Raw genomic sequence first — 19,587 nt, 5'->3', positions numbered from 1 at the left:
GCCCAGTGGCAGGAAGAAGGTCAGGGCAGTCAGGAGCCAGGACTCCCACTCTGAGAGCGGGTGAGCCCGCAGCGCCAGACCCAAGGCCCCCGAGATTCTGTCGTGGGGCACGACCCTGGTTCCAGGTTGCCTGGGCGGGCAGTGCTGCTCACTGTCACTGTCCCTGCAGCCCGGCAGGAGGAAAGGGTGAGCTCAGCTGCCCCCTGCTGGCCGCAGCCGAACCAGCAACCTGCAGATGGGAGTAGGCTCCGCCCCACCCACGCTGTCCGCCCAGTGGGGGCGAGAGGAGCCGGGCCACCACACGGCACTGGACTTGCTGCTTAAAACTGAAGTCCTCAGACCCAGGCCCAGCCCTGCACCCCCATTCTGGGTGAAGTTGGGTAGTCTGCCTACTTTCTTTGAAATGTGGGGTGGATTTGGACAGGGAGAAAAATGCCAGGTAGCTCTAAAAGTCCTCTGCACAAAGGAGAAGAATGAGCGATGAGAATCTGTCCCGAGGCCTGCACCTCCTTTGGGTCAGCACTGTCAGTGTCCCTTAGGCTCAAAGTCACAGGCTTTGGTTGACTGTCCCTGCTCCATCCCATGCCCTCTCTCTTTGCTGCATTTACCTGTATCCTACTGAGCCTGTCAGGCCCCCTCCTCCAGGAAGCCTTGTTTGATCACTGCTCCCCCTCCCAGTCTATTGTCTGTCTTTGTGTTGGGTGGTGGCCTGCACATCTGTTGGGGCATCATGTGTGTGCAAAGTGACCCATTTTCCTGGTCTTTATGTTCTTATCCCCGGTGTCATCTGAAAAGCTGCCTGGACTCTGAGCTGATGTCTCCATGGGTAACTCTGTTGCTAATCCTGCAACCCTGTGTGCGGGGAGCAGTTGGAACTCCTGCTCCCTGACAAGTGTCAGAGGCCCCTGGCACATCCACCCCAGCCCTCTCCTTCCCAGCTTTATCTGTGCCCCTTGCACCACTGTTTTTTCAGACTGAGCATGACAGCGTCCTGGGTCGCCTTGGTCGCTGTGGCTTTTCTGAGTCCCAGCAGCACCTCTGGCCTCCCGTGTGTCTCTCCATGCACTGCCACTTGGCTGGGGGCTGGCCACATGAAGCCTCAGCTGTGGGTCTGCGCAAGCCTCTTGCTGGGCTCTGGTTGTGGCTGGAGCCTCCTGTGTCCAGCTAGCCCCGGGTTGGGAAGCCCGCAGGAATGCCCCAGCTGCTGCTGTAAGTGGAGAATGACCTGGAAACCCCAGCCTCAGAAGGGACAGTAGGATCGCATGTGTTGACTGTTCTGGTCACCTCTGCTTCCTGCATTCTGAAGAGTTAGGGAGAGTCTGGGGACTGGGGACTGTGAAGACCTCGTCCCACTGCACTGTCCTCAGGGGCAGTCTGGGCAGAGCCTCTTCAGGTCTTCAGGCCTCTGGATCCAGGTGCTGGCTGAGCCAGGCTGTGCGTGCCAGGCTGGCAGGTGGCAAAGTCACTCCTGCTGCCCCGTGCAACCCAAGCGTAGCTAGGATTTGAAAATAACAGCTGTTCCGGCATTAAAGAACCCCAAAGAAGTCCAAGACAATCATCTGTAGGGTAGTGGTAAGGGTTAAATCGTGTTCCCCCAAAAGGATATGTCGAAGTCCTAACCCTCAGTGCATCAGAATGTGACATGATGTGGGAACAGGATCATTGCAGGTGTTATTAGTTAAGATGAGCTCATGGTGGAGTAGGGTGGGCCCCTAGTCTAATCTGACTGGTGTCTTTGTAAGAACACAGCCATGTGAAGACACAGACACTAAGGAAGATGCCAGATGACCACATAGGCAGAGACTGGCTGTGCAGCCGCAAGCCAATGAATGCCTGAACGGCCAGCAAGGCACCAGAAGCTAGGAGCAGGCAAGGAAGGCCTCTCCTATGGGTTGCAGAGGGAGCACGGCCCTGCTGAGCTGAAACCTGGATTTTGGACTTGTAGCCCCCAGAACTGTGAGACAATCAGTTTACTTTTTTTTTTTTTTTGAGACAGAGTTTTGCTCTGTCACCCAGGCTGGAGTGCAATGGCACGATCTCGGCTCACTGCAACCTCCGCCTCCCGGGTTCAAGCGATTCTCCTGCCTCAGCCTCCCCAGTAGCTGGGATTACACGCATGCGCCACCATGCCTAGCTAATATTGTATTTTTAGTAGAGACAGGGCTTCTCCACGTTGGTCAGGCTGGTCTCAAACTCCCGACCTCAGGTTATCCGCCCGCCTTGGCCTCCCAAAGTGCTGGGTTTACAGGCGTGAGCCACTGCACCTGGCCGAAGTGAGTTGTTTTTTCGGAATTTTTTTTTTTTTTTCGAGACAGGGTCTTGCTCTGTTGCCCAGGCTGGAGTGCACAGTGGTGTGAACACAGCTCGCTGTATCCTCGACCTCCTGGGCCCAGGCGATCCTCTAGTCTCAGCTTCCCAAGCAGCTGGGCACGACAGGCTTGTGCCACCATGCCTGGCTAATTTTTTTTGTTTTTGTAGCAATGGGGTTTCGCCATGTTGCCCAGGCTAGGCTCAAGTGACCCTCCCGCCTTGGCCTCCCAAAGTGCTGGGATTACAGTAGCAAGCCACTGTGCCTGGCCTGGGCACTGTTATTCCCACGAAAGGTCACAGGTGCCCATGGTCATGGCATTGTGCTGCCTTGCCAGGCAAAGATGATCACACAGAGGACAAGGTGCCACTCACTGTCATGGACACCCAAGGAGACGGCCCTGTTCCCAGGACTACGCTGCCACAGGGACAGGTGGCTTACTCCTCCCATCTCTGGAAACATTGTGAACCCCAATCCCCCAGTGGCGCTCATCCTGCAGGCCCAGGTCCTGGGTGGCTGCTGCAGGGCTCAGAGTCCTCCAGGGGTCTGCTACTGTCCCTTCCCTCCCAGGTAGGTGTTGACAGCAGGATCTGTGGGAAACAAACGGCCTCCTGCCAGGCCTGGAGCATGAGGTGCCCTCAGGAAGGGCATGAGCATCTGCAGTTACCCACCTTGGTCCCCACAGGAACCCCAGAGCCCCTCCTGGGCAACGTGGGGCTGGGAGTACAAGCCGCCAAGATGAGACAGCTTCACTCGGGTGCTCCGTGGGCATCAACCTGGCTGGCCTGAGGGCTGCACACCTTGACGTACGTTTCATGAAAACCAAACATGCAGCCTGTAATCAACTCTTGGACTGTCACGGACACACCCTCATTATTTCATATCATGAGCTGCCCCAGAGTTTGTTAGAAACTGATTTTAATAAGTCACATGATACAAAAGAATGAGAACATTCAAAGAATGAGTAAAATACTGCTTTGTCCCAAAGGACAAGCAGAAAATGTTAAGGCACAATGGATGCTCAGAAAACGTAAGAAGCTGAAGGGAAAACACATCATCTGTGTACTCAGACACACACACTCCAACCCATCACACGAACACACCCTCGCCCGCCCATCAGAGAAGAATTCGCCTGGAATCAGCTGGGGGCGGTGGCTCACGCCTATAATCCCAGCACTTTGGGAGGTTGAGGCGGGCAGATCATGAGGTCAGGAGTTCACGACCAGCCTGACCAACATGGTGAAACCCTATCTCTACTAAAAATACAAAAATCAGCGGGGCCTGGTGGCATGCACCTGTAATCCCAGCTACTCAGGAGGCTGAGGCAGGAGAATCGCTTGAGACAGAGGTTGCAGTGAGCCGAGATGCGCCACTGCACTCCTGCCTGGGCAACAGAGCAAGACTCCGTCTCAAAAAAAATAAAAAAATAAAAAAAATAAAATCACCTGGAATCAAAGCAGCAGGGACAGCCTGCGCTGGAGCCGCCAGAACAGGCAGGCGGGCAGCTCCGCAAGACCGAGCAACTCCAGGACGGGAGACGAGAACTGGCAGCTGACATGACCCTGTGACCAGGACATTCCAAAAGACTGGGGGCCCTTCCCAGGCCTCTTCTTTCCGCCTATTATTTTAACAAAGTCCATGCTGCCAGAAGGCAAGCCTACCTCGAAACACCTGGCACATTCACAAGCTACCAAAGGGAGGAGGGTGAACAGGCTCTGATACTTGGAGTAGAGGCCCAAGCTTCCTCTCCCACGGTTTTCCACCGGGAACGAAGACAAAGCCAAGCCCTGTGCAGCCACAGGAAGTCCCAGGAAGCACCTGTGAGACCCGCACACCCACCTCGGAGGGTCCCAGGGCTGGGAAAGCCCTCCTCTCAGGGGCTCTCAGCTCATCTGGGACAAGACAGAGCCCCTGCTCCCCGGAGGGCAAGCTGGGACCAGAGAAGCCAAGCACCCATATCAGTCACCTTTCCAAGTGTCCTCGATAAAGAAGAGAGTGTCCCGTGTGGCCCAGGCTTTCCTGGGCATGCGCCAGCCCCCAGAGGAATCCATGGCGCCACCTGGGAAGGAGCGCACAGCAGAGGTACCCAGGGCACTTCCTGGCGTTGCCCCAGCACAACTCAGATGAACAAAGACCAAACTAAAACCTGAAGACCCAGACACAGGGAGGGGAGGTCAGGTCCGGTCAGTCCCCTAGGGGAGCTGCTTGGGCTCCAGGGAGTGCCCACCAGGGGATTTTCAGTTTTTCACAGACTGTGAGTGTGGGTCTGGAGGCCAGGTGGTCCACAGGATAGCCACCTCCCAGCAGTGACATCACCAAAGGCTATCAGAAAGGCATGCTCTTTCTGGTATCTCGTGCCTGCAAAGGAGACCAGAACGAGGGGCACAGGACCCCAGGTAGGGCCCTGCCTGGCTCCCTCCATTCCTGATTCAACCAGGGAGGTGTGGTGGGGGCCCTCACCGTGTTTCTGTCCCGGTTCAATCCAGGGAGGCCCCTCCTACCCTCCTCAGAGTGGTGGCCCAGCCTGGTATTGGGGGATGGAGCACCAGCAGGAGGAAGGTGGGAAACTGGTCATCCAAGTCCGGGGGGTGGAGCACTAGCAGGAGGAAGACGGAGACTGGTCACCCAAGTCCAGGGAAGAGGCCAAAGGCACACACTGGAGCTTCAGGTCCCAAACCTCAATCCTTGGTCCTCTACCACTGGAGCTGCCACTGGGCACTTCAGAACAGGGACACTGCCCATCTTGAGGTGGGCACAAAGGCATGTTTCTAGGTGAGGGTGGCAGCTGCAGCTTGATCGGATGGTCCTGAGAGAGCAGCAGGGCCCAGCATCCGGGGGAAGGGAGGGCAGGCTGCAGAGGAGCCCTACAGGAGGCCCTGGCCAGCTTTGCACAGCCCGGGCATGGCCCCGGGCCCAAAAGTCACTTCTCCGTGGTCTGAGAAACCTGCTGAGGCAGCCCTCCCCACGTGGTGACCCATGAGACTGTTGCAGCCGGCGCCTGCCCCTCAGGAGGACAGTGCCGGGCCAGGGCCCCCAGTCGCCCTCCTCCTGCCGGGTGCAGCGTCCTCAGCCCTGCTCCAGGCTGTCGCCGGGCTGCACCACGGTGTAGCTCCCCTGGCCCAAGGACAGCTGCCGGCTGAAGAAGGATGTGGTGCGCTTCGGCTTCACTCGCCTGATCCCCTTGCCTGCGAGGGAATGGGAGGGCACACTGAGCAGAGGCGCTGTCCCTGTGTGAGGGGGCTCAGGCCCAGGAAGCCAGGTTCTGGCTCCAGCGCGACGGCTCCTTCCAGAGCCTGGTCAGACTGAGCTCCCCTCATCCGAGCCTCAGCCCCGCTCAGCATGCTACAGTATACCCCAAGCAGCGCTCCCTAACACTGCCGACCTAAGGTCATCACAGACAAGGAGGGTCCTTCATAGCCAAGAGAAGCCTGGGGAGACGTGACAACTAAATGCAGTGTGGGGTCCTGGTGGGATCCTGGCACAGAGGGATGTCTGGAAAACACTATGGAAATCTGACTAAGGTAGGCACTTTGGCTAATAATGGCAATACCGGGTCATTAATTAAAACAAAAGTACCATATTGCTGTAAGATGTTAGTTTTTGGTTTTTTTTGGGTTTGTTTTTTTTTGTTTGTTTTGAGACGGAGTCTCGCTCTGTCGCCCAGGCTGGAGTGCAGTGGCACTATCTCGGCTCACTGCAAGCTCTGCCTCCCAGGTTCACACCATTCTCCTACCTCAGCCTCCTGAGAAGCTGGGACTACAGGCGCCCGCCACGGCGCCCAGCTAATTTTTTGTATTTTTAGTAGAGACGGGGTTTCACCGTGTTAGCCAAGATGGTCTCGATCTCCTGACCTCGTGATCTGCCTGCCTCGGCCTCCCAAAGTGCTGGGATTACAGGCGTGAGCCACTGCGCCCGGCCTTTTGTTTTGTTTTGAGATGGAGTCTTGCTCTGTCACCCAGGCCGCAGTGCAATGGCACGATCTTGGCTCACTGCAACCTCCACCTCCTGGGTTCAAGCAATTCTCCTGCCTCAGCCTCCTGAGTAGCTGGGACTACAGGTGTGCGCCACCACGCACACTAATTTTTGTATTTTTAGTAGAGACGGGGTTTCACCATGCTGGCCAGGATGGTCTCGATCTCTTGACCTCATGATCCACCCATCTTGGCCTCCAAAAGTGCTGGGATTACAGGCGTGGGCCACTGTGCCTGGCTAATTTTTGTATTTTTGGTAGAGACAGGTTTCACCACGTTGGCCAGGCTAGTCTCAAACTCCTGACTTCGTGATCCACCTGCCTTGACCTCCCAAAGTGCTGGGATTACAGGTGTGAGCCACCATGTCCCGCCTTTGTGGTTTTTTTTTTGAGACAAGCTGTGTTGCTCAGGCTGGAGTGCAGTGTTACAATCACGGCTCACTGCAGCCTTACCTCCTAAGCCTAGGTGATCCTCCCACTTCAGCATCCCCAATAGCTGGGACTACAGGTGTGAGCCATGGCTAAGGTTTTTTTAGTTTGTGTAGAGACAGGGTCTTGCTCGATTGCCCAGGCTGATCTCGAACTCCTGGCCTCAGGTGAGCCTCCTGCCTCTGTCTCCCAAAGTACTGAGATTACAGGTGTGAGCCTAGCCAAGACGTTAATAAATTTTTCTTTTTCTTTTTTTTTTTTTGCGACAGGGTCTCACTCTGTCACCCAGGCTGGACTGCAGTGTTGTGATCCTAACTCACTGAAGCCGTAACCCTCTGGGCTCAGGTGATCCTCCCATCTCAGCCTCCCAACTAGCTGGGACTTCAGGCGTGAGCCACCATGCCCTGCTAATCTTTTAAATAGAGATGCGGTCTTGCTATGTTGCGCAGGCTGGTCTTGGACTCCTGGACTCAAGCAATCTGCCTGCCTCGGCCTCCCAAAGTGTTGGGATTACAGCCATCTCACCTGGCCAGATTGTTAATTTTAAAAAGTCAAGCAACAGAAGAAAAATGAGCAAAAGAAATCATCAGTAATTCAGGAAGGAAATCTAAATATGATCAAGCACGTAAAAATTTGCAATCGGCCGGGCACGGTGGCTTATTCCTGTAATCCTAGCACTTCAGGAGGCTGAGGCGGACAGATCACCTGAGGTCAGGAGTTCGAGACCAGCCTGGCCAACATGGCGAAACCCTGTCTCTACTAAAGATACAAAAATTGATCGGGCATGGTGGTGGGCGCCTGCAATCCCAGCTACTTGCGAGGCTGAGGCAGGGAGAATCACTTGAACCCGGGAGGCAGAGGTTGCAGTGAGCTGAGATCATGCCATTGCACTCCAGCCTGGGCAACAGAGCAAGACTGTCTCAAAAAAAAAAAAATTTCCAATCTCATTGTGTTCAAACACCAGCCCAGACAAGTTCCCTTTGGCTCGGAATGATTACACCCATTGTGGGTGAGGGCATGGGAGGCAGACACCATCTTCTCTGCTGGGGAGGGTACACCTGGGCACAACTTCTCTGGAAGGTGGCAGGTATGAAAAGCCTCTTCAAAATCAGCATATCGGCCAGGCACGGTGCTCACATCTGTAATCCCAGCACTTTGGGAGGCTGAGGTGGGAGGATCATTTGATCCCAGGAGTTTTGAGACCAGCCTGGGCAACATAGTGAGACGCTGCCTTGACAAAGAATTTAAAAATTAGCCAGGAGTGGTGGCTCATGACCTTAGTCCCACCTACTCAGGAGACTGCAGAAGGACTGCTTGAGCACGGGAGGTTGAGGCTGCAGTGAGCCTTGACTAGGCCATTGCACTCCAGTCTAGGCACTAGAGTGAAATCCTATTTAAAAAAAAAAATCTGCACACTTTTACATTAGCAAGGCCATTTCTAGGAAAGTATCCTGAGGAAACATTTCAGATTCTAAGGAAGGACTTTCCTGTAGGTGTGCTGTTTAGAAGAGCTGAACGCTGAAAACTGTAATGCCCACAAGCAGAGGACTGGGTCAAAATGAGCGTGCTAAAACCATGCCAAGGAATGCCACACAGTGGTCCAAATTACATTGTAGAAAAAGTTTGCTTTTTCTGATTATAAAACTTATTCTAGGGCTGGGCGCGGTGGCTCACGACTGTAATCCCAGCACTTTGGGAGGCCAAGGCGGGCGGATCACCTGAGGTCGGGAGTTGGAGACCAGCCTGACCAACATGGAGAAACTCCGTCTCTACTAAAAATACAAAATTAGCTGGGCGTGGTGGTGCAAGCCTGTAATCCCAGATACTTGGGAGCCTGAGGCAGGAGAATCGCTTGAACCCGGGAGGTGGAGGTTGCGGTGAGCCGATATCGCACCATTTCACTCCAGCCTGGGCAACAAGAGTGAAACTCCGTCTCCAAAAAAAAAAAAAAGAAAAAACAATTATTCTAAAAATTACAAGACTATAAAAATGACATGTTCATTGTAACAGATTTACGTGCTCCAAGAAGTACAAAGAAAAAGTCAAAGCTACAGCCGCTGACGGCCACAGCTGGGCCCGCCCTCCTCATGCGCATGGCTGCACACATGCTGTCCTGTTACTCATTTCCTTTTTTTTTTTTTTTTGAGACAGAGTCTCGCTCTGTCGCCCAGGCTGGAGTGCAGTGGCGCGATCTCCGCTCACTGCAAGCTCCGCCTCCCAGGTTCACGCCATTCTCCCGAGTAGCTGGGACTACAGGCACCCACCACCACGTCTGGCTAATTTTTTTTCTTTTTGTATTTTTAGTAGAGACAGGGTTTCACCTGTTAGCCAGGATGGTCTCGATCTCCTGACCTCGTGATCTGCCCACCTTGGCCTCCCAAAGTGCTGGGATTACAGGCGTGAGCCACCACGCCTGGCCATTTCTTTTTACTGAATATTATTTTGTGAACATCTTGCCATGTAAAATGTAGATCTCTGGCCGGGTGCGGTGGCTCACACTGTAATCCCAGCACTTTGGTAGTCCAAGGTGAGCAGATCACTTGAGGTCAGGAGTTTGAGACCAGCCTGGCCAACATGGCGAAACCCCGTCTCTACTAAATATACAAAACTTAGTTGGGCGTGGTAGCTCACCCCTGTAATCCCAGCTACTAGGGAGGCTGAGGCAGGAGAATCGCTTGAACCCAGGGTGCGGAGGTTGCAGTGAGCCAAGATCACACCATTGCACTCCAGCCTGGGTGACAGAGCGAGACTCTGTCTCTAAATAAATAAATAAATAAATAAATAAATAAATAAATAAATGTAGATCTTTGTTACTGCATTAAAAAACTTTTTATCATGGAATAATTCTAGATTTCTAGGAAAGCTGTAAAGGTGTAGAGAGTTCCAGAATACCGCCACAACTTCTCCCGATGACAGCATGTTCTGTCACCACATCAGAGCTAAGGAATGAACACTGACACAGTATCTGTTAACTAAAATTCTTTTGGACTTCAATAGTTTTTCCACAAATGTCCTCTCTTCCAGGATCTGACACAAGATGCATTTAGGGTATTCCTTTTTATTATTTATTTATTTATTTATTTATTTGAGACGGAGTTTCGTTCTTGTTGCCCAGGCTGGAGTGCAGTGGCGTGATTTTGGCTCACTGCAACCTCCACCTCCTGGGTACAAGCGATTCTCCTGCTTTCAGCCTCCCAAGTAGCTGGGACTACAGGCGACCACCACCACATCCAGCTAATTTTGTATTTTTAGTAGAGAAGAGTTTTCTCCATGTTGGTCAGACTGGTCTCGAACTCCCGACCTCAGGTGATCCACCCGCCTTGGTCTCCCAATGTGCTAGGATTACAGGCGTGAGCCACTGCGCCCGGCCAGGGTATTCCTTTTTAAAAACAGGGTCTCGGGCTTGGTGTGATGTTTCACGCCTGTAATCCCAGCACTTTGGGAGGCCAAGGCAGGTGGATCACGAGGACAGGAAATTGAGACCATCCTGGCTAACACGGTGAAACCCCATCTCTACTAAAAACAAAAAATTAGGGCCGGGTGCAGTGGCTCACACCTGTAATCCCAGCACTTTGGGAGGCCAAGGCGGATGGACCACAAGGTCAGGAGATCGAGACCATCCTGGCTAACACGGTGAAACCCCGTCTCTACTACAAATACAAAAAAGTAGCCGGGCGTGGTGGTGGGCGCCTGTAGTTCCAGCTACTTAGGAGGCTGAGGCAGGAGAATGGCGTGAACCCAGGAGGTGGAGCTTGCAGTGAGCCAAGATCGCGCCCACTGCACTCCAGCCTGGGCGACAGAGTGAGACTCTGTCTCAAAAAAAAAAAAAAAAATTAGCCGGGTGTGGTGGCACACACCTGTAGTCCCAGCTACTCGGGAGGTTGAGGCAGGAGAATCACTAGAACTGGGGAGGCGGAGGTTGCAGTGAGCCGAGATCATGCCACTGTACTCCAGCCTGGGCGACAGAGTGAGACTCCGTCTCAAAAATAGTTAACTAATTAATTAATTAAAAAAAATATATATATATAGGGTCTCATCGTTGTCACCCAGGCTGGAGTGCAGTGGTACAATCGTAGCTCACTGCAAACCTCCAACTCCTGGGCTCAGAGATACTCCTGCCTCATCAGCCTCCCAAGAAGGTGAGACTACAGGCATATACCACCGTGCTCAGCTAAGTTTAAGTATATTTTGTAGAGACAGGGTCTCACTCTGTTGTCCAGGCTGGTCTTGAGCTCCTGGGCTCAAGTGATCCTCTTTGTCTTGGTCTCCCAAAGTACTGGGATTACAGGTGTGAGACACTGCACCCGGCCTGGGTACTGTATTTTTACCAGCTGCACTCAACACCCCAAGATGTGGTCACAGCAGTGATTTACCCAACGCTTTATTTATTTATTTATTTATTTTTGAGACGGAGTCTTGCTCTGTCTCCCAGGCTGGAATGCAATGATGCAATCTCGGCTCACTGCAACCTCTGCCTGCTGGGTTCAAGCGTTTTTCCTGCCTCAGCCTCCCGAGTAGCTGGGATTACAGGCGCCTGCCATACACCTCGCTACTTTTTTTGTATTTTTAGTAGAGACAGGGTTTCACCATGTTGGCCAGCCTGTTCTTGAACTCCTGACCTCAGGTGATCCTCCTGCCTTGGCCTCCCAAAGTGCTGGGATTACAGGCGTGAGCCACCGCGCCCCACCTACCCAACACTTCAGTAACAGATGTTGAGTCGTTTCCCGGATCACATCCTGGACAATGCTGCAGAACGTCTGTGACGCAGCAGTGAGAAGGGACAGGAAAGGCACTATGGCCAAGGCCCGGGCTCGGCCTGCTCACAGCTGTGTCCTGAGATGGAGGCCAGCTCACACTGGGTCTGGAGCTGCTCTGCAATGCCCTGTCCTCAGGAACTCCCCCCGGTGTGTGCACGCGCATGCGTGTTTGTGTGTGCACATGCACAGAAGGGCTGCTCACCGTCCTCCACGTAGTCGATGGTGGAGAGATGCTGGATCCGGCTGGACACCACACTGCCCTGCCTCCGCAGCTTGGGGCGCTGAACAGGAGCCAGTGAGGAGCTGGGGTCCGAGGGCGAGCCAGTCGCACTGTCCTGGGGGCCTGCGGGCTCCGCCGCCTGGCTCAGTTCGATGCAGTACTCAATGAGACTGCTCATCAGTTCGGCCTGGGGAGGAGGGGGCAGTGTGAGGCCTGGCCAGGGCCCCCTTCCATGCCTGTTGCTGAGCCTGAAATGAGCTCTGCTCTCTGGTTGGGGAAGCAGGGGAGGGGACACACATCACTCAGGAGGGAGGGAGCAGGGAGGCAGGGGAGGTGTCCCACTTGGGTGACTGTGAAGGTGAGTCCTGGTGGATGAGGAGGGGTCTCCAGATCTGGGAGTTCAGGTGGGAAAGAAAGAACATTCTGGTCAGAAGGCACAGCCCAGGAAGGCTGACTCCATGGGCAGAAGCAGGTGGGGAGGGAGGGGGTAGGGAGCCAGCTGCTGCAGAGAGGACGAAGAGTGGGGAAGCGGGGCGGGGAGGCGGGTGGTGCTGGCTGGGAGGAAAACCTGCAGCCAGGAGGAAGGGGCGCGATGTCACCAGGGCAGGGGCGGGCGGCTCCCTGCCAGCACGTTCTTCAAAAGTGACTCCTACTCAACAGGTGTGAAGCATGAGGCACACTGACAGAAAAGATGCAGCAGCCGGGTGCCAGCGGGCACAGCTGGGCACCAAGGACAGGGCCTTCAGGGGTTTGAGGGAGTCGCAGAGGGTGTTAAAAGGGTGGCACCCCTTAGGACACAGGTATTTCCTGAGTGCCTCCCACGTGCCAAGCACTGCTGCAGGCCTGGGATAAGATGAGGCCAAGTAGACAGGAATGGCCACCTGTGCTCCTGACTGGTGGGGCTGGGTCAGATGCTGGAGTGGCCCTGCGGAGACTGGCCTGGCTCCTGCCTCTCCACAGGGCAGCTACAATCCCTCTGGGCTGGGCAGGTGGGCACCGCTGCTCGGCCCAGAAGGAAGAGCAGAGGCCTGGTGGGCTCTCCACGCTCCCTGCCCTCAGCTCAGTCCACCCACACTCCTCTCCTCACCAAGTGGACTCCACCAGCCAAAGGGCAGTGGGCTGGCGAGGGGACGGCAGCCGGTGGGGACAGAGTCCTGAGTGCAACCATAACAGGGAAGCCTACTAAGTTTCCTAGAACAAAAACTCCTGCACAGCAACATGCCTCTGAGGCTCAGGAAGCCTGCCGTTCAAATGCAGCCAAAAGAGGAAGCTCTGCTGAACATCTGTCCAAGATAAAACTCAGCAAGCCAGCGTCAGAAAGGAACTTCCTCAACCTGATGAAGCGCATCTCTGAAGAACCCACAGCAAAATCCCACTTATTCAGTGAAAGACAATGTTCTCTCTCAGGCCAGGTGCGTCAGGGACGCCTGCGCACACCTATCCATCCTACACTGGGGGTCAGAAGCACTGTCAGGCAAGGCAAGCAAGAGGCACACAGATTGGAAAGTGAGACCCAGCTGTCCCAACTCACAGACCACACGACTGTCCACATAGAAAGTCCCAGGCCAGGCCAGGTGCCGTGGCTCACGCCTGTAATCCCAACACTTTGGGAGGCCGAGGCGGGTGGATCACCTGAGGTCAGGAGTTTGAGACCAGCCTGGCCAACATGGTGAAAACCCATCTCTACTAAAAATACAAAAATTAGCTGGGTGTGATGGCAGGCTCCTGTAATCCCAGCTACTCAGGAGGCTGAGGTGAGAGAATCGCTTGAACCTAGGAGGCGGAGGTTGCAGTGAGCTGAAATCGCGCCATTGCACTCCAGCCTGGGCGACAGAGTGAGACTCCATCTCAAAAAAAAAGAAAAAAAGAAAAAAGGCAGACACAGGGGCTCATGCCTGTAATCCCAGCACTTTGGGAGGCCAAGGTGGGAGAATCACTTGAGCCCAGGAGTTCAAGATTAGCCTGGGCAACATAGTGAGACCTTGTCTCTACAAATATAAAATAAAGTTAGCCTGGCATGGTGGTGCACACCTGTGGCTTGGGATGATAGCTTGAGCCCAGAGGTCAAGGATGCAGTGAGCTATGATTGCGCCACTGCACCCCAGCCTCGGTGACAGAGCAAGAGTGTTTCAAAAAAAACAAAAACAATTATATTTCTATATAAGGAAATGATCAATTGGAAATTGAAATTAAAAACAGTGCCATTTACAGTAGCACCAAAAGAAAAAAAAAAAGAAATGGATAAATCTAACAAAAGATGCAGAAGTTTTGTATGCTGAAAACTATAAAATGTTAATGAAAGAAATCAGAGACAAATAAATGGAGATACAGAAATAAATGGACTGGAAGACTTAAGAGGTCAATGACCTCCGAAGTAATCAATGCGATCTCAATAAAAATCCTAGGTAGCCTTTTTTTGGGGGGTGGATAGCGGAGCATGCTACAAATCAACAAGCTGATTCTAAAACTTCTATGGAAACCATTTTAAAAAGAACAAAGTTCTGGTTATCAGACTACCTGATTTCAAGACTTATTATAAAGGTTCAAAAATCAATATATAGTGTGATTATCAGTGAAAGACACACATATATCAGTGGTTTAGAAGAGGGAATCCAGAAACAGACCCACACATGTACAGCCAATTGATTTTCAACAAAGATGTCAGGGCAATTCAATGTCTTTCTTTTTTTTTTTTTTGAGACAGAGTCTCACTCTGTTGCCTAGGCTGGAGTGCAGTGGCACCATCTCGGCTTACCACAATCTCTGCCTCCCCAGTTCAAGTGATTCTCGTGCCTCAGTCTCCCAAGTAGTAGCTGGGATTACGGGCGTGTGCCACCACACCCGGCCAATTTTTTGTATTTTTAGTAGAGATGGGGGTTTCACCTTGTTGGCCAGGCTGGTCTTGAGCTCTGAGCCTAAAGAGATCCGCCCACCTTGGCTTCCCAAAGTGCTGGGATTACAGGCGTGATCCACCATGCCCGGCCAATTCAATGTCTTTTCAACAAACGACACCGAAACAATTGAGAATCTGTAAACACGAACATGAACATTGACCTGTATATCACACCTGATGTAAAATATTGACTTTGGGATGGCTGGGAGGCTTAAATTTATACAACTTCTACAAGAAAACATGAGAAAATCTTTGTGGTCTTGGGTTAGGCAAAATTTCTTAGGAAACAAAAAGCATAAACCAGTCTCCGTCTCAAAAAAAAAAAAAAAAAAAGAAAATTGTGAACTTTGAACATAAAGGTGAGAATATCTTGGAGTTCAAAGCCATGAGGCAGGGAGAGGAGTGCCCTCGAGGGGGGCCAGGAAAATGGGGAGCAGCAGGGGAAGCTGGGGGAGGAGGTGGCTGGTGGGGGCGGAAAGAAGCTTCCAGGAGCATGTAGTTAAGCTGAGAAGGGGGAGGGGGCCCTCCTGTGGCAAAGCAGAGGCCGATGGGGCTAGAAGCAGCCCCCAGCATGGGAGGCGCAGGGGTGGGGTCTGGCTGCCAAGGGAGGGGTGAAGGGCACCAAAAGGAAGCCGGAGAGGTGTGGAATGAAGGATCCAGAGAGACCCGAGATGAAAGGAGGAAGGGGTGGGAACAGTCCTGAAAGGGCCCTGTGGGAGGGAGGGGCGTCTGATGTGACCCAAGTGGGAGAGGGAGGGGCAGGGGAGGGAGGCTGGGGAGGGAAGCAGGGGAGGGAGGCAGGGGAGGGAGGCAGGGGAGGGAGGCTGGGGAGGGAGGCTGGGGAGGGAGGCTGGGGTAGAAGAGGTGCTCGGTGCTGAGTAAAACACGACGAATGAAGGGGAAAATCAAACACAGGCTTGGAGAGGCCCAACGTTTCCACGCCCACCGCAGGTGACTGTGAATAGGGTCACAACAGCACTGGTCTTGGGGACAGGAGGGGAGGGTGCAGGCTGGTCTCAAAGCACTCAGCAAGCCCTCAACAAACAGCTGCCCGAACCCCACAGCTGCCACCACCACCGGCGTGGAGTCTGCAGACCAGGCCTCCTGACCTCCCAGGGCAGCTCTGGGTCAGCAGGACTCAAGGCACCCCTTGTGCCCAGGCCGCTTTCATCCTCAGGCCCAAGGCAGCTTCTCACCTCCTTGCCCGCCAGCCTGGTGCCTCTAATTGTCTGGGACCCAGGGCACCTGGGCCCAGCCTCCCCACCCGTGTGCAGGCACCACCCGCGCTACCTGCTTGGAGTAGATCTTGAGGAGCTTGTTGACAGGTGTGCCCTCGCTGTCCCCGTCGAACTCCAGCCACAAGATGGGCTCCTCCTCCTCGGGGGAGGTGTGGTCCCACGACAGCTCCTGGAAGCGCAGGCCCAGCAGGACATGCTGGCCAGCAGGAGACACAGAGCCAGGCTTGACCCCTGGGCAGAGGTCTGCTCCCCACCCCATCCCACTCAGACACCTGGCCAGGGTGTGTGCCTCTCCAAGGCTGAGTCTACATTTGTTCATGTGTTTCTGTAAGGAGAGAGCCTCAGCTTTCATCAGAGCCTGCCAGGGGCTGTGGTCCAGGGAAGCTGAGATCCCCTCTCCCACAACAGTCCCACCAGCAGGCCAAGCCCCTGACAGCGGGGGAGGCACGTGGGGGAGGAGGCAGGTGGGGAAGCGGAGTCTCTTCTATGAGGTCGGGCGTGGCATCTAGCATGAGGCTGAGCTGGGCCCTGCCTCCCAGGACACAGATGGCAGCAGGGGCTGGGGTCCTTCTTCCGGGACAACCAGAAGCCAGCCAAAACTCTTCTGCTGGCTTAGGAGCAAATTTCTGTCCAGGGACAGGTAATCTGCCCCACAGGGCTGGCTGCTGACGCGGCTCTCTACCCAGGGCTGGCCACCAAACGCAGAAAGAAGAGGACACGGTCAGCCCAAGAGGGCTCCCGTCGCGGGGTCTTCTGGAGCATCAGGCTGTTCTCCAGCCATCAGCCAGGCAGAGCAGCGGGCCCTGCTGCCCTCCCTCCACTCAGCAGTGAAGTCCCAGCTGCGGCCTCCCCTGCCCCGGCCACCCCACAGCCTAGCATGTTGGGCAAGAGGACCCAGGATCACCCTCAGGGGCTACGAGGACATCCAACGGAGGCAGGGTCCCTCCCAGACAGTCCATCCACCTTGCCCCCAGGCCCCCACAGGCCCAGAGGAACCAGGAAGACCTGAGTCAGGAGCCCCCTCCCATCCTCTCCACCCTGGAGGAGCTGGGGGCAGTACCTTCTCTCTGCTATCGATGACGTGCACGCCTTCCAGACTGATGGCCACAGAAACTGGCTTGCGCCCACCCCGGTGCAAAAAGCCTTGGGCCGGCTTGTCAACCTCACCGTGGAAGAAGGCACACCTGGGGAGGGGACTGGGGTCAGCCTCCGGCCAGCACCAGAAATGCTGAGGGAGGCTGCTCGAGGCCCCAACCTGGGCTCTGAGGAACTTCTGCTGTTTGGGTGACTGAAACCCGCCCCAGGGAAGGGAGAAACAGAGGTGGGATGAAGGGGAGGCTTCGTAGGGGTGGCAGCATCTGAGCTGGCAGTGTGCGACCGGAGGGAGAAGGGCCTGATGGCACAGAGAAGGGTGGGCACTGCAGGCGGAGGGAAGCGCGTGGCCCCAGGTGTGGAGCAAAGCCAGTCGTGGGTTTGGCACTTGGTCTGGGGGCCAGGGCTGCTGGAGGTGGCCAGGAGAGCCTGCTGACCACTGTCCAGGCGGAGACCTTTCAGCAGCAGGGACCTGCTGGGAAGCACGAGGAGGTGAGGGGAGTGGCTCCAGGGCTCAAAACTGAGAAGAGGCTGGGCGCGGTGGCTCATGCCTGTGATCTCAGCACTTTGGGAGGCCGAGGCAGGCGGGTCATGAGGTCAGGAGATTGAGACCATCCTGGCTAACAGGGTGAAACCCCATCTCTACTAAAAATACAAAAAAAATTAGCCGGGCATGGTGGTGGGCACCTGTAATCCCAGCTACTCCGGAGGCTGAGGCAGGAAAATGGCGTGAACCTGGGAGGCGGAGCTCGCAGTGAGCCAAGATCGTGCCACTGCACTCCAGCCTGGGCAACAGAGCGAGACTCCATCTCAAAAAAAAAAAAAAAAAAAAACATTGAGAAGAGCTGCCACCTGTCCCTCCTGCAGCCTTGCCTTCTCCTGTCCCTCAGGCTCACCCTTGCCCTCACCACCCACTGAGCCAGAGCCCAAGTTAAACCCCGCTCTCTCCACGCGATGGGATGGGGCTGGAGACCAGCATGGGCCACCTTGAATTCCTGGGGCCGTCCTGCTCCAGCCTCCTCCGGAAGACTTCTGTCCCCCAAGCTCAGCTGATGGCCAGCCCTCCGATTTCACTGAGGAAACCAAAGCAGCCAGGAGAGGGCCACCTGCCGGTCAGCACACATGGGCTGTCACCTCCCCCTCAAAACCACTACAAGACCCGTTGCTTGACCCCATTTTACAGCAGAGTTGTGACAGCTGGTCACACTCACTGTCTCCATCCCTGCTCACGCTCGCCCACCAGGCTGGAGCCCACATCCATCGCCAGCTGCCAGGAGGACAAGCGGGGCATGCGCTAGGAGCTGCTGCGGGTAGAGCCCTCCTGCCTTGCTGGGGGGCCCAGGGCCCCTTCTCACCTGGCCCACACTTGCCTCCCAGCATCTCTCCAGGCTTCAGGTGCCATCCATATGCATAGGATTCGCCAAATACGAGCTCCAGTTCAGACTGCACTAGACACCAGATGCCCACTCGAAGTCGCCAGTGGGGCGTCTAACAAGTATCTCAAAATCAACATGTCCAAAGCAAGCTCCCAGCCAGGCACGGTGGCTCATGCGTATGATCCCAGTGCTGTGGGAGGCTGAGGCGGGAGCATCACTTGACCCCAGGGTTCCAGACCAGCCTGGCCAACAGGCAAAACCCCGTCTCTACAAAAAATACAAAAATTAGGCCAGGCGTGGTGGCTCCCAGCACTTTGGGAGGCTGAGGCAGGCGGATCACCTGAGGTGAGGAGTTCAAGATCAGCCTGGCCAACATGGTGAAACCCTATCTCTACTAAAAATACAAAAATTAGCCGTGCATAGTGGTGCAGACCTGTAGTCCCAGCTACTTGGGAGGCTGAGGCAGGAAAATCGCTTGAACCTGGGAGGCAGAGGTTGCAGTGAGCCGAGATCATGGCATTGCACTCCAGCCTGGCAACAAGAGCGATACTCCATCTCAAAAAAAAAAAAAAAAAAGAAAGAAAAATTACCCGGGCATGGTGCTGCACACCTGTGGTCCCAGCGACTCAGGAGGCTTGCTTGAGCCCAGGAGGTCGAGCCTGCAGTGAGCCACGATTGTGCCACTGCACTCCAGCCTGAGTGACAGAGCAAGACCCTGTCTCAAAACAAAAACAAAAAACCAAATTCCTAAACTTTCCCTGACCACTCCACAGTGCCGCCCCCAGCTCAGCGGAGGACAACGCCATCTGCCAGGGGCTTAGGCCAGTCCTCTCTGCCTCCTCTCCTTCGCTTCATCCACTGCACATCCATCTGGCAAATCCTGTCACTCTGCCCTCAGAACGTCCTGCATCTGACCATCTCACCTGTTCTGACCACAAGGCCCAAGCCACACCCCATCCTCTGGTCTCCTGGCTGCCGCCTGTGCCCAATGACAGGCTCTCCTCAACCTCTGTGTTCTCGTCTCTCTCCACTAGAACATCAGCTTCATCAGGCAGGGGCACGGTGTCTCTGGCTCAGGGGGACCTCCAGTGCCCAGGGAGCGTGCGTGCAGTAGGTGCACAGAGCTGTTTGTTAGACAACAATTGCGTGACAGAGACAGCTGGCTGAAGGCGAGGTCGGCCGGGCCAGTGACGAGGTGACTGTGCCAGGTAGAAGGAGAGGACCCATCCAAGGTGTCCCAGCCCCTGACAGGAGGAAGGGGAGGACAGGTGCCCAGCTTGGAACGGTGGGGCCTGAGGTGCTCG

At 54.8% G+C, this 19,587-nt stretch overlaps 1 protein-coding gene across 5 annotated transcripts in view, besides 2 other annotated features; it reads right to left on the bottom strand.

Moving 5' to 3' along the window:
* Positions 1 to 3,209: 3,209 nt before the first annotated feature.
* Positions 3,210 to 19,587, bottom strand: part of FRMD8 (FERM domain containing 8) — a 45,500-nt gene continuing 29,122 nt past the window's right edge. For all 5 annotated transcript variants that reach the window (XM_047427684.1, XM_047427683.1, NM_031904.5 and 2 more), the window contains 4 exons: positions 16,876 to 16,999; positions 15,868 to 16,011; positions 11,667 to 11,871; positions 3,210 to 5,493 (listed from right to left, as the gene is read on the bottom strand). In XM_047427684.1, the coding sequence (XP_047283640.1) occupies positions 5,375 to 5,493; positions 11,667 to 11,871; positions 15,868 to 16,011; positions 16,876 to 16,999 (592 nt within the window). In that variant the 3' untranslated portion in view covers positions 3,210 to 5,374. The remainder of the gene's footprint in view (positions 5,494 to 11,666; positions 11,872 to 15,867; positions 16,012 to 16,875; positions 17,000 to 19,587) is intronic.
* Positions 11,988 to 12,487: an enhancer, noted in NCBI's record as "H3K4me1 hESC enhancer chr11:65171719-65172218 (GRCh37/hg19 assembly coordinates)". NCBI's record gives its function as "activates a minimal SCP1, AML or CMV promoter by ChIP-STARR-seq in primed H9 embryonic stem cells {active_cell/tissue: H9 hESC(primed)}" and the evidence as "EXISTENCE:reporter gene assay evidence [ECO:0000049][PMID:30033119]".
* Positions 15,516 to 16,401: an enhancer, noted in NCBI's record as "H3K4me1 hESC enhancer chr11:65167805-65168690 (GRCh37/hg19 assembly coordinates)". NCBI's record gives its function as "activates a minimal SCP1, AML or CMV promoter by ChIP-STARR-seq in naive H9 embryonic stem cells {active_cell/tissue: H9 hESC(naive)}" and the evidence as "EXISTENCE:reporter gene assay evidence [ECO:0000049][PMID:30033119]".

This window comes from Homo sapiens, chromosome 11, assembly GCF_000001405.40.
Source record: "Homo sapiens chromosome 11, GRCh38.p14 Primary Assembly".
Lineage (NCBI taxonomy): Eukaryota > Metazoa > Chordata > Mammalia > Primates > Hominidae > Homo > Homo sapiens.
This window is presented reverse-complemented; position numbering and strand designations above follow the sequence as displayed.